This window comes from Homo sapiens, chromosome 16, assembly GCF_000001405.40.
Source record: "Homo sapiens chromosome 16, GRCh38.p14 Primary Assembly".
Lineage (NCBI taxonomy): Eukaryota > Metazoa > Chordata > Mammalia > Primates > Hominidae > Homo > Homo sapiens.
This window is the reverse complement of record NC_000016.10, coordinates 14,572,943-14,596,332: the sequence shown is the minus strand read 5'-3', so window position 1 is coordinate 14,596,332 and position 23,390 is coordinate 14,572,943. Positions and strand designations below refer to the sequence as shown.

Here is a 23,390-nt window from a genome sequence, read left to right as displayed (position 1 = left end):
CTTAAATTGTACCACCTTTGGCCATTGGAGCTTCTTTGACTTGGCTCCTGTGCCCTCTGAACAAGCCCCCCATCCTTTTCTGAGCACTTCTTTGCTTTCTGGTATTCTTGTAGTTTCTCTGGCTCAGCTATGGAATGAATGACTTCTCCACGGAGCTCTGGTTCCTCTTAATGGGGAATGATGTTTAGAAACCAAGATCTGGCCCTAGGTTACTGCTTCTGGCCCTAGGTGATATTATTGCTTCTAAGCCCTCTCACTGGACAGAACTAAGAACCATATGTATGTAGACCTAGGCATGTACACACACAGCTATATTTCTGTGTCTCTCTGTATATGTATGTGTGTGTGGATCTATATAAATGTGTATGTAGCTGGGCATGGTGGCTCAACCCTGTAATCCCACACTTAGGGAGGTCAAGGCAGGAGGACTGCTTCAGGCTAGTAGTTCAAGACCAGCCTGGGCAACATGGGAGACCCCCTCTCTACAAAAAATGTAAAAATTGGCTGGGTGTGGTGGCTCGCTCCTGTAATCCCAGCACTTTGAGAGGCCAAGGCGGGCAGATCACGTGAGGTCAGGAGTTTGAGACCAGCCTAGCCAACATGGTAAAACCCCGTCTCTACTGAAAATCCAAAAATTAGCTGGTGTGGTGGTGCCACCTGTAATCCCAGCTACTCAGGAGGCTGAGGCAGGAGAATCTCTTGAACCTGGAAGGCAGAGGTTGCAGTGAGCTGAGATTATGCCACCGCACTCCAGCCTGGGCAACAGAGCAAGACTGCATTTCAAAAAAAAAAATTAAAAAATTAGCCAGGAGTGGTGGCACATGCCTGTGGTCCCAGCTGTAGGGGAGGCTGAGGTGGGAGGATTGCTTGAGCATGGGAGTTTGAGGCTGCATTGAGCCATGATGGTGCCATTGCACTACAGCCTGGGCAACAGAGCGAGACCCTGTCTCTAAATAAATAAGTGTGTGTGTGTTTGTGTGTGTGTGCGCATGGGTGTATGCATGCCTTTATACTGATACCTCAGATTCCAGTACAATACCACGTGACTTATTTTTAGCTTCCTCTCTTTTCTTATTTGTGCCTTCTTTCTCAACAGTGAGAAATCCAGTTTCTATTACTTCCATTATGTTTATTTGTTTAAACCCGGTATACACATAAAGTAGCTTCAGAGCTACTAACCCATACCTCGCGAGAAGTACATTTATTGATGAAATGATAACATTTATGATTTATGTGCAATTCGTTTTGTTTTTAGCCTTACAGTATCTAGTCAAGATGCTCTTTTCCAAGTTAGTTTGTTTCTTCTTAACCTTCAGTGTGGTTATGGTAGTCATTTATAATACAGTTTGGTTCATTTCTTAGTGTTTGCATTCCATTTGGGGTTACCTACACATCTTTTCTGTGGTTTCAATCAATGCTCATTATTTTAGCGTAGCATAGGTATTCAGAATGTACACCAATAATGAGCCAAAAGGACAGCTTCTCTGTTAGATTTGGGAGATTTTGTGTAGGATTATTTCAGATAATTAATGTGTAGTCCCATGAATCAAGCAGTGTTACACTGAAGGTCCTTTGGGTTATAGTAAAAGCTCCATCGTGGTAACCTGATTTTTTTTTCCAAGACAGAGTCTGACTGTCGCCCAGGCTGGAGTGCAGTGGTGCGATCTCAGCTCACTGCAACCTCCGCCTCCTGGGTTCAAGCCATTCTTTTGCCTCAGCCTCCCGAGTTGCTGAGATTACAGGCATCTGCCACCACACCCAGCTAATTTTTTGTGTTTTTAGTAGATACAGGATTTTGCCATGCTGGGCAGGCTGTTCTCAAACTCCCGACCTCAGGTGATCCGCCTGCCTTGGCCTCTCAAAGTGCTGGGATTAACAGGTGTGAGCCACCACGCCCGGCCCCTGATGTTTTATGTTAAAAATGGTGTCACCTGGCTGGCTAAATCTAAATTTATGTTCCATTTTGGAAATTTAATTTTTATCAAAATGGACTAATTTGTTGCACATATAGTGTGAGACAGACACACCGCCCATTGCACGAAGAGGGCTGCCAGCACATATATTGTATTTCGGTTGGCTGAAAGGCAGTGACTTTTAATGGATGTGTGTTTAAGAACATGCCCCATGAATTTTGACATAATGATATAGGAAATGCAATTCTGTTTAATATAGTTAGAAATTAGTTATTTTTACCTTTTAGCATTGGTATGAATGTATCTTTTAAAATAAGTGGGTTGTTTTAAAGGATGCAGCCCTAAAATTTGTGTTTAGTTTTTTCCCAAATTATTTGACAGTTTAAGGGAGTCAACGCTTTCAGATTTTACTTTTTTTTTTTTGAGACGGGGTCTCACTCTGTTGCCCAGGCTGGAGTGCAGTGGTGCAATCTTGGCTCACTGCAGCCTCTGCCTCCCGGGTTCCAGCGATTCTCCTGCCTCAGCCTGCTGGGTAGCTGGAGTTATAGGCATGCACCACCGCACCTGGCTAATTTTTCTATTTTTAGTAGAGATGGGATTTCGCCATGTTGGCCAGGCTGGTCTCGAACTACTGACCTCAGGTGATCCACCCGCCTTGACCTCCCAAAGTGGTAGGATAACATTTGTGAGCCACCGTGCCTGGCCCAGATTTTACTTTTAAAAAAACTTTTCAATCAAAATTTTACTACTTCTGATTCATGAGGGTGGCATAATTAATAAAAATTCAAGAAAAAGATCAGTGACATCAAAGTCATTTGTGCTTTCACTTTGCTTTCTGGATTTAACATTCCAAAATGGAGGAGGAATGAAGCCAGCCCAAATTAGCTTATTTGTACTTTTTTTTTTTTTTTTTTTTTTTTTTTTTTTAAGTCTGGAAAGCGAGTTTAGTACAAAGTCCTCTTGGAATCTGAACTATACATTCTGAAACCCCAGTATAATTTCGAATGTAGAAGTCTTTTTTCTAACCTTGACTTTCTTTAGGGAAAACTTGTTATTGGACACAATATGCTCTTGGACGTCATGCACACAGTTCATCAGTTCTACTGCCCTCTGCCTGCGGTAAGTGACCTGTTGGTCTGTGTTTAATATTAGCAGGATTCTTTTTATCTGAAAAAATATTATTATGATGCTTTTAACTGAACTGTCCTCTACTTGGGTGCCATTTCCTTGTATGCAGCATGTTCCCAGAGAGAATCTTATGCACTCAGTTGCACATTTTTTTTTCCTTGAGATGTATTCTCACTCTGTTGCCCAGGAGTGCAGTGGTGCAATCTTGGCTTGCTGCAGCCTCCACCTCTTGGGTTCAAGCGAGTCTCCTGCCTCAGCCTCCTGAGTAGCTGGGATTACAGGCACCCGTCACCACGCCCAGCTACTTTTTGTATTTTTAGTAGAGATGGGGTTTCACCATATTGGCCAGGTTGTTCTCGAACTCCTGACCTCGTGATCCGCCTGCCTTAGCCTCCCATAGTGCTGGGATTACAGGCCTGAGCTACCACGCCTGGCCACAAACTTTTTTATTAAGGGATCTTCAGTCACTGCCATTGCCAGAGGAAGATTAAACATTTGTTTCATTGTCTTAATGCCAGTGGTTTGCTCATTTAGTGCTGGGCAGGGATTCCCAGGCCACAGGTGTGGGCTGCTAGTTTGGTCCTGCTACAATTAGACATAGCAGGGCCATTGAAGGTAAGTGGTGGCAGCTGAAGTGGGTCCAGTCCTACAGAATTCTTGATCGCCCTTGCTAGGCTGCTTCCCTTAGATTCTCTGCTGACCTCAGTAGTGCATTTTTCAGTCCTTGAGCCAAGTTGCCTTGGTTGACCAAAGCACAAGCTGCTTTGGTTCCTCTACTGGCTCTCCCTCTTCTGCTCCATACGGTTTGCGTGGCCTCACGTTACTTGTCCCTCGCCACTCTGCGCTCCACTCTTTTATTTCCTCTTCATCTTTTTTGTCTTTTAGTGATCTCACTCACTTTACAGCTTCAGCTGTAGACACCAACATCTTTATCCCCAGCTGTGGTCTCTGTTCAGATCCAGGTATACATTTCATGCTGGACTCCAGACATCCCTACCTGGATAGCCCCCAGACTAAGTGTTGTTTTGAATTGACGTGGCTCAAATGAGATATTTAACTTGTACTTCTTTTCTTTCTTACTGTCTCCAAACCACTTCTTTCTCCTCATCCCATTACTATAAGTGATTCCCAGTTACCAACCCTGTTTTTAGCATCAGTTTTGACTCTTGCTCTGTCTCCAGATCTGGTCATTTCCAAAATTCTGACGATTTTATCTCCATGCCCTCTCTCACATCTGGATTCTTTTTTTTTTTTTGAGATGGAGTCTCACTCTTTCACCAGGCTGGAGTGCAGTGGCATGATCTCGGCTCCCTGCAACATCCGCCTCCTGGGTTCAAGTGATTCTCCTGCCTCAGCCTCCCGAGTAGCTGGGACTACAGGTGCGTGCCACCATGCCCAGCTAGTTTTTTTGTATTTTTAGTAGAGACAGGGTTTCACTGTGTTGGCCATGATGGTCTCAATCTCCTGACCTCCTGATCTGCCCGCCTCAGCCTCCTAAAGTGCTGGGATTACAGGTGTGAGCCACTATGCCCAGCTGATTGTTTTTATTTTTGTTGCAAGCGGCCTTATTTCTCATCTTTGAGTTTAGCAAATTCCAGGCAGCATTTCCTGTCCCCCTTCAACCTTCAGCCCATCCTTTAAAATGAACGTTGGCACGTTTTCTATAAAGGGCCAGATAGTAAAATATTTTCAGCTTTCCATGCTGCATAGTTTCTGTCACAACTCTTAGCTCTGCCACTGTAGCCCCGAAATGCCATAGAATACGTAAACCAATTGGCATAGCCGTGTTGCAATAAAACTTCATTTACAAAATAATTGGTTGGCTGTATTTGGCCTATGGACCATAGTATGCCACTGGACTAATCTTTTTCTTATTTTAAATAATTTTTTTTTTTTTTTTTAGAGATGGAGTCTTACTCTGTTGCCAGGCTGGAGTGCAGTGGTGCAATCTCGGCTCACTGCAACCTCCGCCTCCGAGGTTCAAGTGTTTCCCCGGCCTCAGCCTCCCGAGTAGCTGGGACTACAGGCGTGCACCACCACGCCCTGCTAATTTTTTTGTATTTTTAGTGGAGATGGGGTTTCACCATGTTGGCCAGGATGGTCTCGATCTCCTGGCCTCATGATCTGCCTGCCTTGGCCTCCCAGAGTGCTGGGATTACAGGTGTGAGCCACTGTGCCCGGCCTTCCCCATATCTTTTTAATAAAATAGAGACTAGGTCTCACTCTTTTGTCCAAGCTGATCTCAGGGTGCTGGGCTCAAGCGGTCCTCCTGCCTCAGCCTCCCAAATAGGTAAAACCACAGGTGTGCACTACCACGCCCAGCTAAAAGATTAATATTTTGTTACTTCTAGATTGGAAGACACCTGCTTGAGAGTTCAGTCTCACTTATACATCTGTAAACCTTCAGTTACTTCACATTTCTTAGGTCCCATTGTTCCGTCAGCATTTTGATTACCCTCCTTTAAAAAAGTACAATACAGACGTCATGAGTGGGTCAGTTGCTCCCCTTGTATTTCTTAAAATTTAGGTTGTCATCACTGTTTAAGACAGCTCTATCACCTTTTAACACCTTTTAGGACTCAAAGACTTCATAGTTGTGGGTCTCAAAACAAGTGTAAAAGGTATGGAATTGCATTTCTTTTTTTTTTTTTTTTTTTGAGACTGAATCTTGTTCTGTGGCCCAGGCTGGAGTGCAGTGGTGTGATCTCTGCTCAGTGCACCCTCCGCTTCCTGGGTTCAAGCGACTCTCCTTCCTCAGACTGCTGAGGAGCTGGGATTACAGATGCCTGCTACCATGCCCGGGTAATTTTTGTATGTTTAGTAGAGACGGGATTTCACCATGTTGGCCTGGCTGGTCTCGAACGCCTCATCTCAGGTGATCCACCCGCCTCCGCCTCCCAAAGTTCTGGGATTACAGGCGTGAGCCACCACGTCTGGCCTGGATTGGCATTTCTTAAGTCTAATGAGCTAATGTTTATTTTATGTCACTCACCACACTTCTGTTTTTTTTTTTTTTTCTCTTCTCTTTCCTACCTTTTTTTTTTTTTTTTTTTTTTTGAGATGGAGTCTCACTCTGTCACCTAGGCTGGAGTGCAGTGGTGCGATCTCGGCCTCCTGTGTTCAAGTGATTCTCTTGACTCAGCCCCCCGAGTAGCTGGGATTACAGGCGCCCGCCACCATGCCCAGCTAATTTTTGTATTTTTAGTAGAGATGGGGTTTCACCATGTTGGCAAGGCTGGTCTTGAACTCCTGACCTCAGGGGATCCACCGGCCTCTGCCTCCCAAAGTACTGGGATTACAGGTGTGAGCCACCGGGCTTGGCCTGGATTTGCGTTTCTTAAGTCTAATGAGCTAATGTTTATTTTATGTCATCCCACTTCTGTTTTTTTCTTTTCTTTTTTCTTCACTTTCGCACCTTTTTTTTTGAGATGGAGTCTTACTCTGTCACCTAGGCTGGAGTGCAGTGGTGCAGTCTTGGCCCACTGCAACCTCTGTCTCCTGGGTTCAAGCGATTCTTCTGCCTCAGCCTCCTGAGTAGCTAGAATTAACAGGCGCTTGCCACCATGCCTGGCTAATTTTTGTATTTTTAGTAGAGACGGGATTTCGCCATGTTGGCCAGGCCGGTCTCGAATTCCTGACCTTAGGTGATCCGCCTGCCTGGGCCTCCCAAAGTGTTGCGATTACAGGCATGAGCCATTATGCCCGGCCATTTTTTTTTTTCTTTTTTGAGAGAGTGTCTCACTCTGTCACCCAGGCTGGAGTGCAGTGGCGCCATCTTGGCTCACTGCAGCCTCAACTCCCTGGGCTCAAGTGATACTCCTACCTCAGCCTCTCGAGTAGCTGGGACCACAGGCACATGCCACCATGCCTCACTAATTGTTTTGAAAGTTTTGTAGAGACAGGATCTCACCATTTGCCCAGGCTGCTCTCGAACTCCTGCGTTCAAGAGAAGTCTGCCCACCTCAGTCTCCCAAAGTGCTAAGATTATAGATGTGAGCCACCACACCTGGCCAGATCACCCACTTCTTACTGGCCAAGTAGATCAAAGTAGCAGCTCCTCTCTTGACTTTTTGACCTTTATTATTTATTTATTTATTTATTTATTTATTTTTGAGACAGAGTCTTGCTCTGTGGCCCAGGGTGGAGTGCAGTGGTGCGATCTTGACTCACTGCAACCTCTGCCTACCGGATCCAAGCGATTCTCCTGCCTTAGCCTCCCGAGTAGCTGGGTTTACAGGCACCTGCCACCATGCCCAGCTAATTTTTATATTTTCAGTAGAGACGGAGTTTCACCATGTTGGCCAGGCTGGTCTTGAACCCCTGACTTCAGGTAATCCACCTGCTTTGGCCTCCCAATGCTCTGGGATTACAGGTGTGAGCCACCACGCCCAGCCTGTTCATTTGTTTTTTTGAGACAGAGTCTCACTCTGTCGCCAGGCTGGAGTGCAGTGGTGTGATTTTGGCTCACTGCAACCTCCCTCTCCCAAGTTCAAGTGATTCTCATGTCTCAGTCTCTCAAGTAGCTGGGATTACAGGTGTACGCCACCACATCTGGCTAATTTTTGTAATTTTTTTTAGTGGAGATGGGATTTCACCATGCTTGCCAGGCTGGTCTCGAACTTCCGGCCTCAAGTGATCCACCCGCTCGGCTTTCCAAAGTGCTGGGATTACAGGAATGAGCCACCCGCTCCCAGCCTTTTTTGATCTTTAAAGCAATGAAGTTATCAGCAAGGCAAGAGGAAAATGTATTTAATTCTGTGCTTCTAGGTGTTTCGAATACTGAATAGAGCTTGGCACTAGAAGGCATTAAATATCGATTTAACAAATGAAGTATCTCCCGACTGCCAGTTTTGTAATCTTCTGATGTATGGCTCCGTTCCTGTCACTGACCCTGCTGAAAATTCTAAATTAATCCCACACTCTTTGTTTTCTAGGCAGTTGACTATTTTTACCCATGCATAACAGGCTTTCTGTGATCCAGCCCAACCTTTCTGTGTAGTCTAATCCCTTGTTGCTCTCCTTTTTCCAAGACTGACTTATTTGTTCCCTAAGAGGTGCTTTGTTTAATTTCTTCCAACTTGAATTTTCTCTTGTTGTTCTCAATGTTTGTTGTTCACAGCTTTCCCTTAACTTTCCGCGGTGCAGCTTTTGCCTTCTCCATGAAGTTTTTATTGCCTGCTACCTTGCCCAAGAGGTGATCTTTCCTTTCTCTCAACTCCCACAGAACATTGTACATCTCTATGTTACATAAATTTTGTCTTGTATTATACAGCATAACCCCCTTCTAGGTGGTTAGCTCCTTGGACAAGGGGTGTAGCCATTTTGTTGTGTAAGTGCGTAACATAACACATTGCGTGTAAGCAGTTAATGAATGGCCTGACTTAACACATTGTATGTAAGCAGTTAATGAACGTTAAGTGGAATGAAAGTGGTCTTGAATTAAATTCTGGTAGAAAGAGCAAGTGATTTGTTGTAGAGTAGTAAGTGGGTTAGGATAAGCAGTTTTATCCTTCACTTTATTACTAAGGCTACCTGGTAAGTAACTTAACTTCTTTATGTTCTGGCATTGTCAGAGAAAGAAAATGTTTTGTTTTGTTTTTTTCCATCTACCTTTAGAAGAAGTGATGAGAAGAAATTAGAAAGCCTAATAAATTAGAAGGCTGGGTGTGGTGGTGCATACCTGCAGTGCCTGCTACTTGAGAGGCTGTTACAGGAGAATTGCTTGAGTGCAGGAGTTCAAGGCTAGTCTGGGCAACATAGTGAGACCCTGACTTGATAAAAAGGTAGAGCTTTTACATGCACTGGTATCAAAATTTGCATTTAAAAGGATACTAAATAATCCACATTTTGGAGTTGCCTTTTAGAGGAGAGTGTTTTCTTATGAACTATCTTGATACTTGAGCATGACCTTTTAGAAGACATTGGTCTAGAACTGTGCTATATGTTGGCCCTGGAGGTGGCCGTAATTCTCCTTGTTCCTTGCTTGTAAAGCTTTCTAGTGGTATTGAGAGATTACAAACATCATTATTGCATTTTTTGACGTTGCATTGAAATCGCCTGTTCATGCTTTGCCCATTAATTTATAGCCAGTGAAAAGCTGGTAAATATATCAGGCTAGCTAAATACAGTCTGTATTTACAGGCTTGAAAAGCTAATTGGAAACAGCAGTTTCCTATGAAGCATGAATAACATTGAAGAGAAGTGTAGTTTACAAAGAGTCAGGAGTATGACTACTCAGTCTAGCATGGCAATTATGTATGTAAATGAGTTAATTCAAAATTAGAGGACTCTCATTTCAGCTCTAGACTTCCTGATCAAAATAAACTTGAGAAATGAATTGTCTAATCTAGGCACTTGCTATTAGTGCCACTTGAGCAATTTTCTGGAGTTGAAACAGGAATCATATGTGTATTGAAAAGCCTGTGTTTCCAAGGCCATTTTTACTAACATTTCAAAGGTGATCTCAGGAAAGGTCTAAGCTAGTTTACAGTATGCCCATTTCCTGTGTAAACCATTTAATTTAAATGACTCTGCTTGTCTCACTGTTATGATAAATTTGTGTGGTAGATCGCAGCCTGTTAGCTATTACTGGAAGTTTTCTGCTTTTATTACAGGCCTCTCAAATAGGTAGGTTTTAACATTTTATTGGACCCCCTGCCCCTTCCCAATTTCAACTATTAAATCCTTAAATTTGTTGTTTTGGTTATGCAGAAGTTAGTTATCAGGTTATATGGTTCCCAATGAGTGAGGAAATTGGGAAGGTTTTGTGTTTTTTTTGTACTTGTTAACTAGAAATGGGTTTTGTAGTTTAGCTTAAGGGCCCCAACAGCTTGTTTGAGAAGACAGCTATGGAACTTGAGCTGTTTACATGTTTTTTAATACTGCGAGTGTATTAGGAAAATTGTAACAAGTCCTTCTCTTGTTCTTTAGGACTTAAGTGAGTTTAAAGAGATGACAACATGTGTTTTCCCCAGGTAAGCTTTCTTTGAGGATTTGTCTTTCTTTTAAAAAAGTTGGCTGGGCACGGTGGCTCACACCTATAATCCCACCACTTTGGGAGACTGAGGTGGGAGGATCACTTGAGCCTAGGGAGTTCAGAACCAGCCTGGGCAACATAGTGAAACCACATATCTATAAAAAATAAAAAATTAGCTGGGTGTGGTGGGATACGTGTGGTCCAGCTACTCAGGAGGCTGAAGTGGGCGAATTGCTTGAACCCAGGAGGTCCAGGTTGCAGTGAGCCATAATAGTGCTACTATCCAGCCTGGGTGACAGAGTGAGATCCTGTCTCAAAAAAAAAAAAAAAAAAAAGAGTCATTGTGACATACACAATACAAATAGGTATATAGTAATTTGTTAAAACCATTAGATCATGTTCATATAAGCTTGGAACTTATTTAATGTCTCCAATGTTGTGATGGCTTGCTTTTATAATTTATGATTGGTTTTGTTATCAAAAAATCACAGTTTGAACTGAGAGTGAAAGTAGACCAACGACTCCTTTTTTCTTATCTCTCATCTTGCTGTCTGAAGAACTGTTGAAGCCTCCTTGAGATGGCTCTTGTCTGTCTTGCATGTAGGATGTACCTTGTAACTATTGAAGTGTCCAATTGAGAGTGTTCAAGAGTCAGTCAAGAACTGTCCATCTGGCTAGAGATTTTGTTTTTCATCCACTTCAAGTCAGTGCCTTTTCCTGTTGGTGTTTTCCATAGTTATTATTGCCCCCTTGTTCTGATAGGTCATATGTCACATATCTCTGAGACATCATAGGTCAGCCATGTGGAGCCTACCGAACAAGTGTTTGTGTCTTAGGACCTGTTGAAGAGGGATAGGCGTGGTGTTCGAGCAGTTTCTCTTTCAGCTGGGCTTATTTCTGTCCTGTTACCCACTCTGTTCACATTTATATGAAAAAAAAAAAAAAAAAAAACAGAGAAATAGAGTTTTCATGTGGGTTTCTCCCCACCCTCCCCTTTTGGTGTTTCTGATCTCTGAAATAGAATAATAAGAAATAAAAACAACAGCGTGAAAGTACTGATTGTAGATTTTGGCCCTGCAGAAGAATTTATAGTTTACAAACCTGAGGAGTAGGAGTAGATGGTAGCAGTTTGGGAATGGTAGACCGGCAGCAGTATTTGAACCACGTAAAACCATGTGAGAGTATTTGACTCACCCTTGAGATTGATGGAGCCCAGGCTCTCTGAGGATCCAGGTGAATCTAGAACTTGTACTCCAAGTGTGGACTCTCCTGCAGTTGCTCAATGAAGTCGCTGATGATGGGACTGAGTACCTACTCCAACGTAGCAGGGATGCTGGTGCTGGGTTCAAAATGGCCAATGTGTTTAATTACTTTGTCTGTGTTTAAGTATTTTCTGTATTAAACATTTTATGTTTTAATTATGTTTTTTATGTATGAAGTATTTTAAGTAGCTTACATATTTGAGTAAAAGACATTTTAAACATTGATATACATTTTGTTTACCTTGTTAAAAATTCTTTTTAGACTCTTGGATACTAAATTGATGGCCAGCACACAACCTTTTAAGGTATTATTCATTTGCTACTTTATAAAGCGACTGCATATTACTGAGTGAAATGAATGCCAGAACAATATAGCCTTCTGGCAAAAGGTTTGGAGGTATTTAATGCATCTGTAAAGATCTTTATTCATTTGGTTATACTTTGTATATTATAAAAATTAAACTAGCTGCTTCTCTTTCACATTGAAAAAAACGAAGACTTCTGTGTTTCTTTAAAGAACACAAGGAGACAGTACTAGATGCTGTCTTTTTTTTGGGGGGGTCAGTGAATCTCTTTAATATATTGTTCTGAGATGATGAAATCTCATAATTCTTTGCTTCGTGGTTTGCAGGATATCATTAACAACACATCCCTTGCGGAATTGGAAAAGCGGTTAAAAGAGACACCTTTCAACCCTCCTAAAGTTGGTAAGAATATTAAACCGGAAACCCTCCAAACTCTTTGTAATAATTATTGATGTATATTGTAGAAGAAAAGCAGAATGGCTCTGGAGACCGTATTGTTCATTTATAGATTTTGGCTGAATTCACTTGCACGTACCGTGTGTTGAATTATTGTTTTTTGAATAAAGATGGTCTTTTAATTCTACATATATTTTATGTTAATGGAGTTGGGTAGCCATTCATTGAGAATTTTAGCAATTAAAGCTTCAAGGCTTCTATTTTCTAATAATATGGAATTCTCCTAAAACTTGATGTGCCCTTTTATTCTTTCATACATTATTGAAGCAGAGACAAAGAGCTAGTGATTAATCACCAGGGGTAGAGTAAAAAATATATTTTCCATCTCAGAAAAGCCCGAGAACTGGATTTACAGGTGAGATTAAGGCAAGTCCCCACCCTGCCTCCTTTTCAGCTGGTTTAGAGAGTAGAAACAGCAGCACTGAGGAAAACCAGAAGTAGGGAGATGAGATGGAGGTGTTTTGCCACCTCGGGCCACCACCAAGGTATGTGGAGAGCCTACCAGGTGCTACTTCCTTGGTCCCTGTTAACCTGATTGTGCTGCTGATACGGTGATTAGCGAGCCATTAGTTGTAGCCTGAAAACTTCTAAAGACATGGATAATAGGACTAATGGTTTAGAAATTGATAATGCAAAGTATTAAAGCAGCCAAGATTACAGTTATTTGCCCCTTTCTGGGTAATAGTCCAAGAAAGGAATTAAGAAAAGTGGTGGTGGGGCCATTGGGGGAGAAAACGTGGACCTTTTCTATAACAATATAATGGAAATAATTGATTTTGGAAAGAATGTGTCTCAGTTGATGATGGAGTGGAAGATATTACTTAGGTGGCTACCATGTTAAAAGGCTTTTTTTTAAAGGCATCAAGTCTAATATTTAATATGGAGTTAAAGAATTCTTGCTTAAAGAGCATTGTATTGACATAAAAACAGTTACAGCCTTTTCATTGTTAATTTCCATTTATGCTTTTGATTCTGTGTTATAGTAACCTTCCTGACATTCATTTCCAGAATGGTTCTAGGATATAATTATTTATGAGTTATAGTTTTATGTTATTATTTCCATATAAAATAGTGGTATCTGGTAGAGAATTCAGTCTAAAGCAGGTCATTCCTCTTATAGTTTATCTGGTCACATCTGTATTTATCAATGTCACAAAAGAACCATATTGTATATAAAGCGGTCTTTGCTGTAAAGTGGTTCCATGATCCAAGGCCAGCATTATAGCAAGTTCGATTTATTTTTGGAGTTGGTTGTGCTGTCACCTTTCGATCTCTAAGCTTGGGAACATAGTAGAGGACAGTAGTGAGTTGGAGCTGTTGATAGTGAATTGCAGTCTTCTCTTTTTTTGGGGGAGGGTTGCCTCAGGTATTGATAGATAACAGTTTTTGAGCACTTACTATGTACCAAGCACTAGGTAAGAGTTTAACTTATATTATCTTATCTGATCCTAACAATAACCTTTTGAAGAAGGTTTGATTATCATCTCTGTTTTACAAAACTGGAACCTTAGGGATGAAGTGACTTGCCCAAGGTCATACCGCAAATAAGTGGTGGAGCAGAGATTCGAACTCAGTGTGACTCCAGAGCCCATGCTCTTAATCTTTACTCTGGATCATCTATTGTGGCCTGATGTGACCATCTTGTATAAGGGAAGAATATCCTTTTCATGGCCTTAGAAAGCAAGCAGAAGAGGAATCATTGTCCTAGAGTGAGTTATGGATGATCATAAATAGCACCCACCAGTGTGGGACGAGAAAGCCCACGGCTGAGTCCTTTGTAATCTAACTGAGGCATTTCTGTATCCTAGACCAAAGCCCTCCTTTTCAGTGACTCTGTTATCTTGTATTTTAAGGTCTTATATAGAGAGAATTAAGGAATAGATAGCTTTTTTCTGCCTATTTAGGGTATTTCTCTAGCATATGCTAATGCAATTTTGATTGGTAGGGCAATGTGCTTACTAGTCTTTGTTTTGAGGAAAACTTTTTCCTTTTTTTTCTTAGAAAGTGCCGAAGGTTTTCCAAGTTATGACACAGCCTCTGAACAACTCCACGAGGCAGGCTACGATGCCTACATCACAGGGCTGTGCTTCATCTCCATGGCCAATTACCTAGGTACGCATTACATGTCTTTCAGTCAAACACGCAGTGATCTAGGGTGGATCTTACCTGTCTCCTGGCTTAGGCTGCTGTAATAAATTACTGTCGAGTGTGGGGCTTAAACAACAGACATTTATTTCTCATGTTCAGGAGGCTGGAAAGTCCAAGACCCAGTTGCCAGCAGACCTAGTATCTGGTGAGAGCCCACTTCCTGGTTTGCAGATGGCTGCCTTCTCCTGTCCTTACGTGGTGGAGAGCAGAGAGAGCAGAAGCTGTGCCGCCTCTTTTTTAAGAGTCAGGGTCTCACTCTGTCACCCAGGCTGGAAGTACAGTGGTTCAATCATAGCTTACTGCAACGCTGAACTCCTGGGCTCAGCCTCCCAAGTAGCTGGGACTACTGGTGTGCATCACTGTGCCTGGCTAACTTTTTAATTTTTTTATAGAGACAGGGTCTTGCTGTGTTAACCAGGCTGATCTAGAATTTCTGGGCTCAAGTGATCCTCCTACCTCAGCCTCCCAAAGTGCTGGAATTACAGGCTTGAGCCACCGCACCCAGCCTCCTGACCCTTCTTATAAGGGCACTAATTCCCTCGTGACTTAATTACCTCCCAAAGGTCTCACTTCCAAATACCATCGTACTGGGGAGGCTTCAACATATGAATTTTAGGGGGACACAAACATTGAACCTATAGCACTACCATTTCCTTGGGATCCACTCACCCAATTAAAAGTGGGAGGGTTTTGAGGTAGGAGTGGGAGGAGATGAGGGGAGGAGGAAATCTGCAAGAAAAACCACTGACACTTGCTGTGGTATGGTACTTGGTGCGTAAGAATACCTTTCACAGGCCGGGCGCAGTGGCTTACTCCTGTAATCCCAGCACTTTAGGAGGCTGAGGTGGGTGGATCACCTGAGGTTAGGAGTTTGAGACCAGCCTGACCAACATGGAAAAACCCTGTCTCCACTAAAAATACAAAATTAGCTGGGCATGGTGGCACATGTCTGTAATCCCTGGTCCTCGGGAGGCTGAGGCAGGACAATCACTTGAATCTGGGAGGTGGAAGTTTCAGTGAACCGAGATTGCGCCATTGCACTCCAGCCTGGGCAACAAGAGTGAAACTCTGACTCAAAAAAAAAAGAATACCTTTCACACTTGTTGAACCATGCTGTTAATTTAAATCTGTTTTGGTCTGAACTTTCAGGCTTGGTCTATGTGACTATGAATAATAATACCTCTCTTCTTTTCTTCATTAGGTTCTTTTCTCAGCCCTCCAAAAATTCATGTGTCTGCCAGATCAAAACTCATTGAACCTTTTTTTAACAAGTAAGTAATCAGAGAGTTCCAGTTTCCAAGTTCTCTCACTGTGGAACAGCCTCATATCTTGGGATGTCAGTTTGGAGTTATTGGGAGCTATAACACATTTTTAGATAAGCTGTTTTTCATCTCGAGTGACTCACATGTTTTTTGAAAGTAGAAAGTGACCTTTTGGGGAACAAATGTATTAAAAATATAGGCTTAAAAAAAAAAAAGAAAACATTGCTAGACGTAGTATAGTAGATCTCTTCCAAGAAAAAGAACTGGTAGTTCTGGCATTTAAATTTCCTATGAGGGGCCGGGTGTGGTGGCTCACACCTGTAATCCCAGCACTTTGGGAGGCTGAGGTGGGCAGAGTGCTTGAGGTCAGGAGTTCGAGGCCAGCCTGGCCAACATGATGAAACTCGTCTCTATTAAAAATACAAAAATTAGCCAGGCGTGGTGGCATGTGCCTGTAATCCCAGCTACTCGGGAGGCTGTAGTGGGAGAATTGCTTCAACCCAGGTGGCAGAGGTTGCAGTGAGCTGAGATTGCACCACTGCACTGCAGCCTGGGCAACACAGCAAAACTCTGTCTGAAAAAAAAAAACAAAAAAAACAAAAGAAAATTTCCTGGCCAGGCGCGGTGGCTCACGCCTGTAATCCCCCAACTTTGGGAGACTGAGGCAGGCGGATCATGAAGTCAGGAGATTGAGACCATCCTGGCTAACACGGTGAAACCCCATCTCTACTAAAAATACAAAAAATTAGCCGGCACGGTGGCGGGCGCCTGTAGAAAACATGATTTTCTTAGCTCTTTTATTTTTTGGGGCAGTGTTTGTCTTTGGAAATGTAGCCTTTGCTGTAGACCATGGAACCCACAGGTGATTGATGTTAAATATAGTTCTTTTTTTTTTTTTTTGAGATGGTGTCTCACTCTGTCACCCAGGCTGCAATGTGGAGTGCAGTGGCACAATCTCAGCTCACGGCAATGTCTGCCTCCTGGGTTCAAGCAGTCCTCCTGCTGCAGCCTATGGAGTAGCTGGAACTACAGGCATGTACCACCACACCTGGCTAATCTTTATATTTTTAGTAGAGATGGTGTTTCACCATGCTGAATAGGCTTCTCTCGAACTCCCTGACCTCAGGTTATCTGCCCACCTCAGCCTCCCAAAGTGCTGGGATTACAGGTGTGAACCACCGTGGCCAGCTAAATATAGGTCCAATTATGATTGTTCCCTTACATTTTTATGTACTTGATGTTAAATTCATTGTTCTGCAGTATTTTTCAACTGAGAGATGTTGACTCATTTGTATTATTATTATTATTTTTTTGAGTCACGGTCTTGCTCTTTTTTCCATGCTGGAGTGCAGTGGCATGATCTTGGCTCACTGCAGCCTCCACCTCCTGAGCTCAAGTGACCCTTCCACCTCAGTCTCTTGAGTAGTCATTTGTAAATATTTACACGCTGTAAATATTAAAACAGTAATCCTGCTTCTCCACTAAAGTCAGCTCCTTATAAAATCAGATGTTGGATGCAAACTGGGTTAGATGTGGGCTGCATCTAGTTTATCAGTCATGTATGTGACCAACATGCAGAGCAATCAAAATAAACTTTGATTAAAAAGCTTAGCTGGGCTGGGTATAGTGGCTTACGCCTGTAATCCCAGCACTTTGGGAGAACAAGGCGGGCAGATCACTCGAGGTCAGGAGTTCGAGACCAGCCTGGCCAGCATGGTGAAAACCGGTCTGTACTAAAAGTACAAAAATTAGCCTGTATTCCCAGCTACTCGGGAGGCTAAGGCAGGAGAATCGCTTGAAACCAGGAGGCGGAAGCTGCAGTGAGCCAAGATCACACCACTGCACTCCAGCCTGGGCAACAGAGTGAGACTCCCTCTCAAAAAAAAAAAGAAAAAAAAGCTAGCTGAGACTTTCTGTATTTCTAGATCAATCTAATATTGCTAATACTGTGCAGGACTATTATTGAAAAGAACTAGACAGTAAATGTGTAGGCTTATTTTGAATTGGGACATCTGTCCATTCAGAATTTTTTTGTAAAACCTAGATGCATACCAAGAGTAGTTGAATAGGAGGTGGGATTTGGGAATCCTTCTGTGATTATTTTTTTGGTCTATTTTTTTCCAATCTGTAAAGGAAGAATATTTTCTTCATCATTAAAGGAAAAATATTCCTGCAAGATTTGAAATACAAAATAAGAACTGTGTTTTTTTTCTTTCTTTTTTTTTTGAGATGTTGTTTCACTCTTGTTGCCCAGGCTGGAGTGCAATGGCGTGATCTCGGCTCACCGCAACCTCTGCCTCTCGGGTTCAAGTGATTCTCCTGTCTCAGCCTCCCAAGTAGCTGGGATTACAGGCAAGTGCCACCATGCCCGGCCATTTTTTTGTATTTTTAGTAGAGATGGGGTTTCTCCATGTTGGTCAGGCTGGTCTCGAACTCCTGACCTCAGGTGATCCACCCGCCTCGGCCTCCCAGAGTGCTGGAGTTACAGACGTTAGTCACCGCGCCTAGCCAAGAACTGTTTTTATTCCTCTTTTTTTTTTTTTTTTTTTTTGGTGAGACAGAGTCTCACTCTGTCACTTAGGCTGGAGTGCAGTGGCGTGATCTCAGCTCACTGCAACCTCCACCTCCTAGGTTCAAGTGATTCTCCTGCCTCAGCCTCCTGAGTAGCTGGGACTACAGGCTCGTACCACCACGCCCTGCTAATTTTTGTATTTTTAGTAGAGACAGGGTTTCACCATGTTGGCCAGGCTGGTCTCAAACTCCTGACCTCAGGTGATCCACCTGCCTTGGCCTCCCAAAGTGTTGGGATTACAGGCGTGAGCCACCATGCATGGCCTGTTTTTATTATTATTTATTGGAATAACTTGGTTAAGTATAGGCATTCATTCTTAACCCCCTTAGAAAGTGGGTTTTATGGCCAGATGCGTTGGCCTATGTCTGTAATCCCAGCACTTTGGGAGGCTGAGGCGGGCGGATCACCTGAGGTCAGGAGTTCAAGACCAGCCTGGCCAACATGGCGAAACCCTGTCTCTACTACAAATACAAAAAGTAGCTGAGCGTGTTGATGGGTGCCTGTAATCCCAGCTACTGGGGGGGCTGAGGCAGGAGAATTGCTTGAACCCAGGAGGCAGAGGTTGCAGTGAGCCGAGATTGCGCCACTGCATTCCAGCCTGGGCAACAAGAGTGAGACTCTATCTCAAAAATAAATAAATAAATGTAAGTAAGTAAGTAAGTAAAGTGGGTTTTCTGGACCAGGTGCCGTGGCTCATGCCTGTAATCCCACCACTTTGTGAAGGTGAGGAAGGAGGGTTGCTTGAGCCCAGGAGTTTGAGAGCAGCCTGGACAATGTGGCAAAACCCAGTCTATACAAAAAATACAAAAATTAGGTGGGTGTAGGGGCAGACACCTGTAGTCCCAGCTACTCGGGAGGCTGAGGCAGGAGGATCACTTGAGTCTGGGAAGAGGAGACCAAAAAGAAAAAAGAAGGAAAAACAATTGCTTCTTTTGACATCTCTTTCTATGTTAATACTGACCTTGTTTTTACTTACTTGCAGGTGATTTAGGATATTAAACCTTGATTTTTGTCATTTTTCATGGTTACCCTTGTAGAAAAACATTTGGTAGTTGCCCCCAACATTATCTCAAGCTGATGATTTTAGAAAAATATGCAAGATTTTCTGAAGATTAATTTATTTTGACACCAGTCTTTTCTAAATGTAACCTTTACCAAACATGCATACTCCTAACATAAATTTGGGTGGACATTAAACTGCCCACATATGCAAACAATATTTTATTTTGCTCTCACCAGACTTAACATTTAAAAAGTAAACCTCGAAGGGAAATAAACTTCACTTACGTCTGCATTATTCTAAATTAGCATTTAGTAGCATCAGTTATGCCATTTTGGGAAGCTTTATCAAGTCAACTATTGAGGAAATCCTGAGACCACTGTTGTTTAAGCAGTATGCAAAGACTGAATGTGATATGAGGTGTTTTTTTAAGCCATACTGGTCTAGAAGAATGTCCCATAAGGGTTTTGCATGGTGCCATTTTGTCTTTTTCATGGCCTGGGCACCTCCCATAGTCCTCCTTGCTTTTTTGGAATCAGGAGGAAAGTCATGAGAGAATTGAGCCATGGAAATCAGGATCACGCCACTGCTAATGACAGCCTGTGTGGAATGCACTCTGTTTATATTGGAGGCTGTCTCCTCAGCAAATGATTTACCTGCTTTTATAGCTTTGGTCAGTTTTAATCAATGCATTGAAAACCAAACTTAATGTTAAGATCCTTTGGTCAAATCCAGATCTAAAATCTAAGAGCTAAAAATGCTCTCTGCTTTTGCTTTTTATTGTACAACAGAAAGCACAAAATCAGACGTTTGCCTTATGTTTTGTTAACTGTCTTCGGTATTGTCAAGACACCTTGACCCTTTTATGAAGGTTTTCGGGAAGGTTGTTTTCTGTTTACCTCAGTTCTTAGAAAGAGGAAGAATAAGCAGGTCTCTTTTTTGGCTATCTTCAGTAAGCACTGGAATGTGAAAAGATGAGCTAGATGCCTGCAGTTTACTCTACAGGACTGCTTCCTTGTTTTGAATCTGAACAGGGTTCCGCTGGAAATCTAGGCCTTCCTGGAATGACACTGCTTTATGGTCTTTCTGAGCTACCGATGAGACAAGGAATGATATGCTCTTGGACAAATGTTTTCTCCTCTGTAAAATGGGGATAAAATGATTCACCTTCTGTATTGGTCCATTTTCATGCTGCTAATAAAGACACAACTAAGACAGGGCAATTTACAAAATAAAGAGGTTTATTGGACTTGTAGTTTCACGTGGCTGGGGAGGCCTCACAGTCATGGCAGAAGGTGAAAGCCACATCTCACATGGCAGCAGATGAGAAGAGAGCTTGTGCAGGGACACTCCCATTTTTAAAACCATCAGATCTTGTGAGATTCATTCACTATCACGAGAACAGTGCAGGAAAGACCTGCCCCATAATTGTATCACCTCCCACCGGGTTCCTCCTACGATATGTGGGAATTGTGGGAGTTAAAATTCAAGATGAGATTTGGGTGGGGACACAGCCAAACCATATAATTCCACCCTTGGCCCCTCCCACATCTCATGTCCTCAGAATTCAAAACCAGTCATGCCTTCCCAACAGTCCCCCAAAGTCTTATTTCAGCATTAACTTAAAAGTCCACAGTCCAAACTCTCATTTGAATCAAGGCAAGTCTCCCTTCCGCCTATGAGCCTGTAAAATCACAAGCAAGTTAGTTACTTCCTAGATACAATGGGGGTACAGGCTATGGATAAATACAGCCATTCCAAATGGGAGTAATTGGCTACAGGCTCTTATTACCTGTGTGATTTTGGGCAAGTTATGCAAGTCTGAAATCCAGCAGGGCAGTCAAATCTTAAAGCTCCAAAATGATCTCCTTTGACTCCATGTCTCACGTTCAGATTACGCTGATGCAGGAGGCGAGTTCCCATGGTCTTGGGCAGCTCTGCTCCTGTGGCTTTGCAGGGTTACAACCTCCCTCCTGGCTCCTTTCATGTGCTGGCATTGAGTGTCTGTGGCTTTTCCAGATGCATGGTGCAAGCTGTTGGTGGATCTGCCATTCTGCTGTCTGAAGGACAGTGGCCCTCTTCTCACAGCTCCACTAGGTGGTGCCCCAGTAGGGACTCTGTGTGGGGGTTCTGACCCCACATTTCCCTTCTGCACTGCCCTAGCAGAAGTTCTCCATGAGGGCCCCACCCCTGCAGCAGACTTCTTCCTGGGCATCCAGGCATGTCCATACATCTTCTGAAATCTAGGTAGAGGTCCCCAAACCTCAATTCTTGACTTCTGTGTGCCCACAGGCTCAATGCTGCATGGAAGTTGCCAAGGCCTAGGGCTTCCACCCTCTGAAGCAACAGCCTGATCTGTACCTTGGCCACTTTTAGTCATGGCTGGAGCAGCTGGGATGCAGGGCTCCTGGGCCTGGCCTGTGAAACCATTTTTTCCTCCTAAACTTCTGGGCCTGTGATGGGAGGGCCTGCCTTGAAGACCTCTGACACGCCCTGGAGACATTTTCCCCATTGTCTTTGGCTCCTCATTACTTACGCAAATTTCTGCAGCCAGCTTAATTTCTCCTCAGAAAATGGGATTTTCTTTTCTTTTTTTTTGAGATGGGGTCTCACTCTCTTGCCCAGGCTGGAGTGCAGTGGCACAATCTCGGCTCACTGCAACCTCTGCCTCATGGGTTCAAGTGATTCTCCTGCCTCAGCCTCCTGAGTAGCTGGGATTACAGGTGTGCGCCACCACGCCCAGCTAATTTTTGTATTTTTAGTAGAGGTGGGATTTCACCATGTTGGTCAGGCTTGTCTCGAACTCCTGACCTCATGATCTGCCCACCTTGGCTTCCCAAAGTGCTGGGATTACAGGCATGAGCCACCATGCCCGGCCAGGATTTTCTTGTCTATCACATTGTCAGGTTTCAAATTTTCCAAACTTTTGTGCTCTACTTCCCTCATAAAACTGAATGCCTTTAACAGCACTCAGGTCACCTCTTGAATGCTTTGCTGCTTAGAAATTTCTTCTGCCAGATACCCTAAATTATTTCTCTCAAGCTCAAAGTTCTACAAATCTCTATGGCAAGGGCAAAATGCTGCCAGTGTCTGCTAAAACATAACAAGGGTCACCTTTGCTCCAGTTCCCAAAAAGTTTCTCATCTCCATCTGAGACCATCTCAGCCTTGATTTCATTATCCATATCATTACCAGCATTTTGGTCAAAACCATTCAACAAGTCTCTAGGGAGTTCCAAACTTTCCCACATTTTTCTGTCTTCTTCTGAGCCCTCCAAACTGTTCCGGCCTCTGCCTGTTACCCAGTTTCAAAGTCACTTTCACATTTTTTGATAGCTTTTCAGCAGCCCCCTCTCCCGCCCCAGTACCAATTTACTGTATTAGTCTATTTTCATGCTGCTGATAAAGACATACCTGAGACTGGGCAATTTACAAAAGAAAGAGGTTTATTGGACTTACAGTTCCATGTGGCTGGGGAGGCCTCACAATCATGATAGAAGGTAAAAGGCACATCTCACATGGCAGCAGACAAGAGAGCTTGTGCAGGGAACCTCCCGTTTTTAAAACACCAGATCTCGTGAGACTCACTCACTATCAAAATAACAGTACAGGAAAGATCCGCCCCCATAATTCAATCACCTTCCATCACGTTCCTCCCACAACATGTAGGAATTGTGAGAGTTACAATTCAAGATAAGATTTGGATGGGGACATAGCCAAAGCGTATCATCTTCCGTCGAGGTTATAAGGATTGTATGAGATTTGAAAGGACTTTGATAGTTCCTAGAACTTAATAAGTGCCCAGCATATATTCTTTTCCGTTTCTTGAAATATAAGGGGTGCGGGGAGGATTGGGGAGATATTGGTCAAAGGACACAAAATTTCAGTTAGTAGGAATAAATTCAAGAGATATGTTATACAGCATGGTGACTGTAGTTACTAACAGTGTATTGTAAACTTGAAGATTACCAGAAGAGTAGGTTTTAAGTGTTTTCACTGCAAAAAGTGAGTATGTTAGGTAATGGATATGTTAGTCTAATTTAGCCATCTTACAGTGTATACATATTTCAAAACATGTTGTACATATCAATATATACAATTTTTAGTTGTTAATTAAAAATAAATAAATAAGGTTGGGCATGGTGGCTCATGCCTATAATCCTAGCACTTTGGGAGGCCAGGGAGGTGGATTGCTTGAGGCCAGGAGTTGAAACCAGGCAGGGGAACATAGCGAGACTCCATCTCTTAAAAAAAAATTAGCTGGGAATGGTGGCACATGCCTGTAGTCCCAGCTACTCAGGAGGCTGAGGCAGGAGGATTGCTTGAGCCCAGGAGGTTGAGGCTGCAGTGAGCCATGGTTGCAGCACTG

At 43.0% G+C, this 23,390-nt stretch overlaps 1 protein-coding gene across 13 annotated transcripts in view; it reads left to right on the top strand.

Moving 5' to 3' along the window:
* The window catches only part of PARN (poly(A)-specific ribonuclease), a 194,560-nt gene that overhangs the window by 33,928 nt on the left and 137,242 nt on the right, over nt 1-23,390 (top strand). For 10 of the 13 annotated variants that reach the window (XR_007064884.1, XR_007064882.1, XR_007064881.1 and 7 more), the window contains 6 exons: nt 2,955-3,032; nt 9,972-10,015; nt 11,542-11,584; nt 11,911-11,986; nt 14,042-14,152; nt 15,390-15,459. Coding sequence is in view for 9 of the 13 variants with exons in the window: in NM_001134477.3 (NP_001127949.1) it covers nt 2,955-3,032; nt 9,972-10,015; nt 11,542-11,584; nt 11,911-11,986; nt 14,042-14,152; nt 15,390-15,459 (422 nt within the window). In the remaining 4 variants the exon portion in view is untranslated. Of the gene's footprint in view, nt 1-2,954; nt 3,033-9,971; nt 10,016-11,541; nt 11,585-11,910; nt 11,987-14,041; nt 14,153-15,389; nt 15,460-20,056; nt 20,255-23,390 lie in introns of those variants that run through there. The other 3 variants (XM_011522514.3, XR_007064883.1, XM_047434185.1) reach the window with 3 other exon arrangements.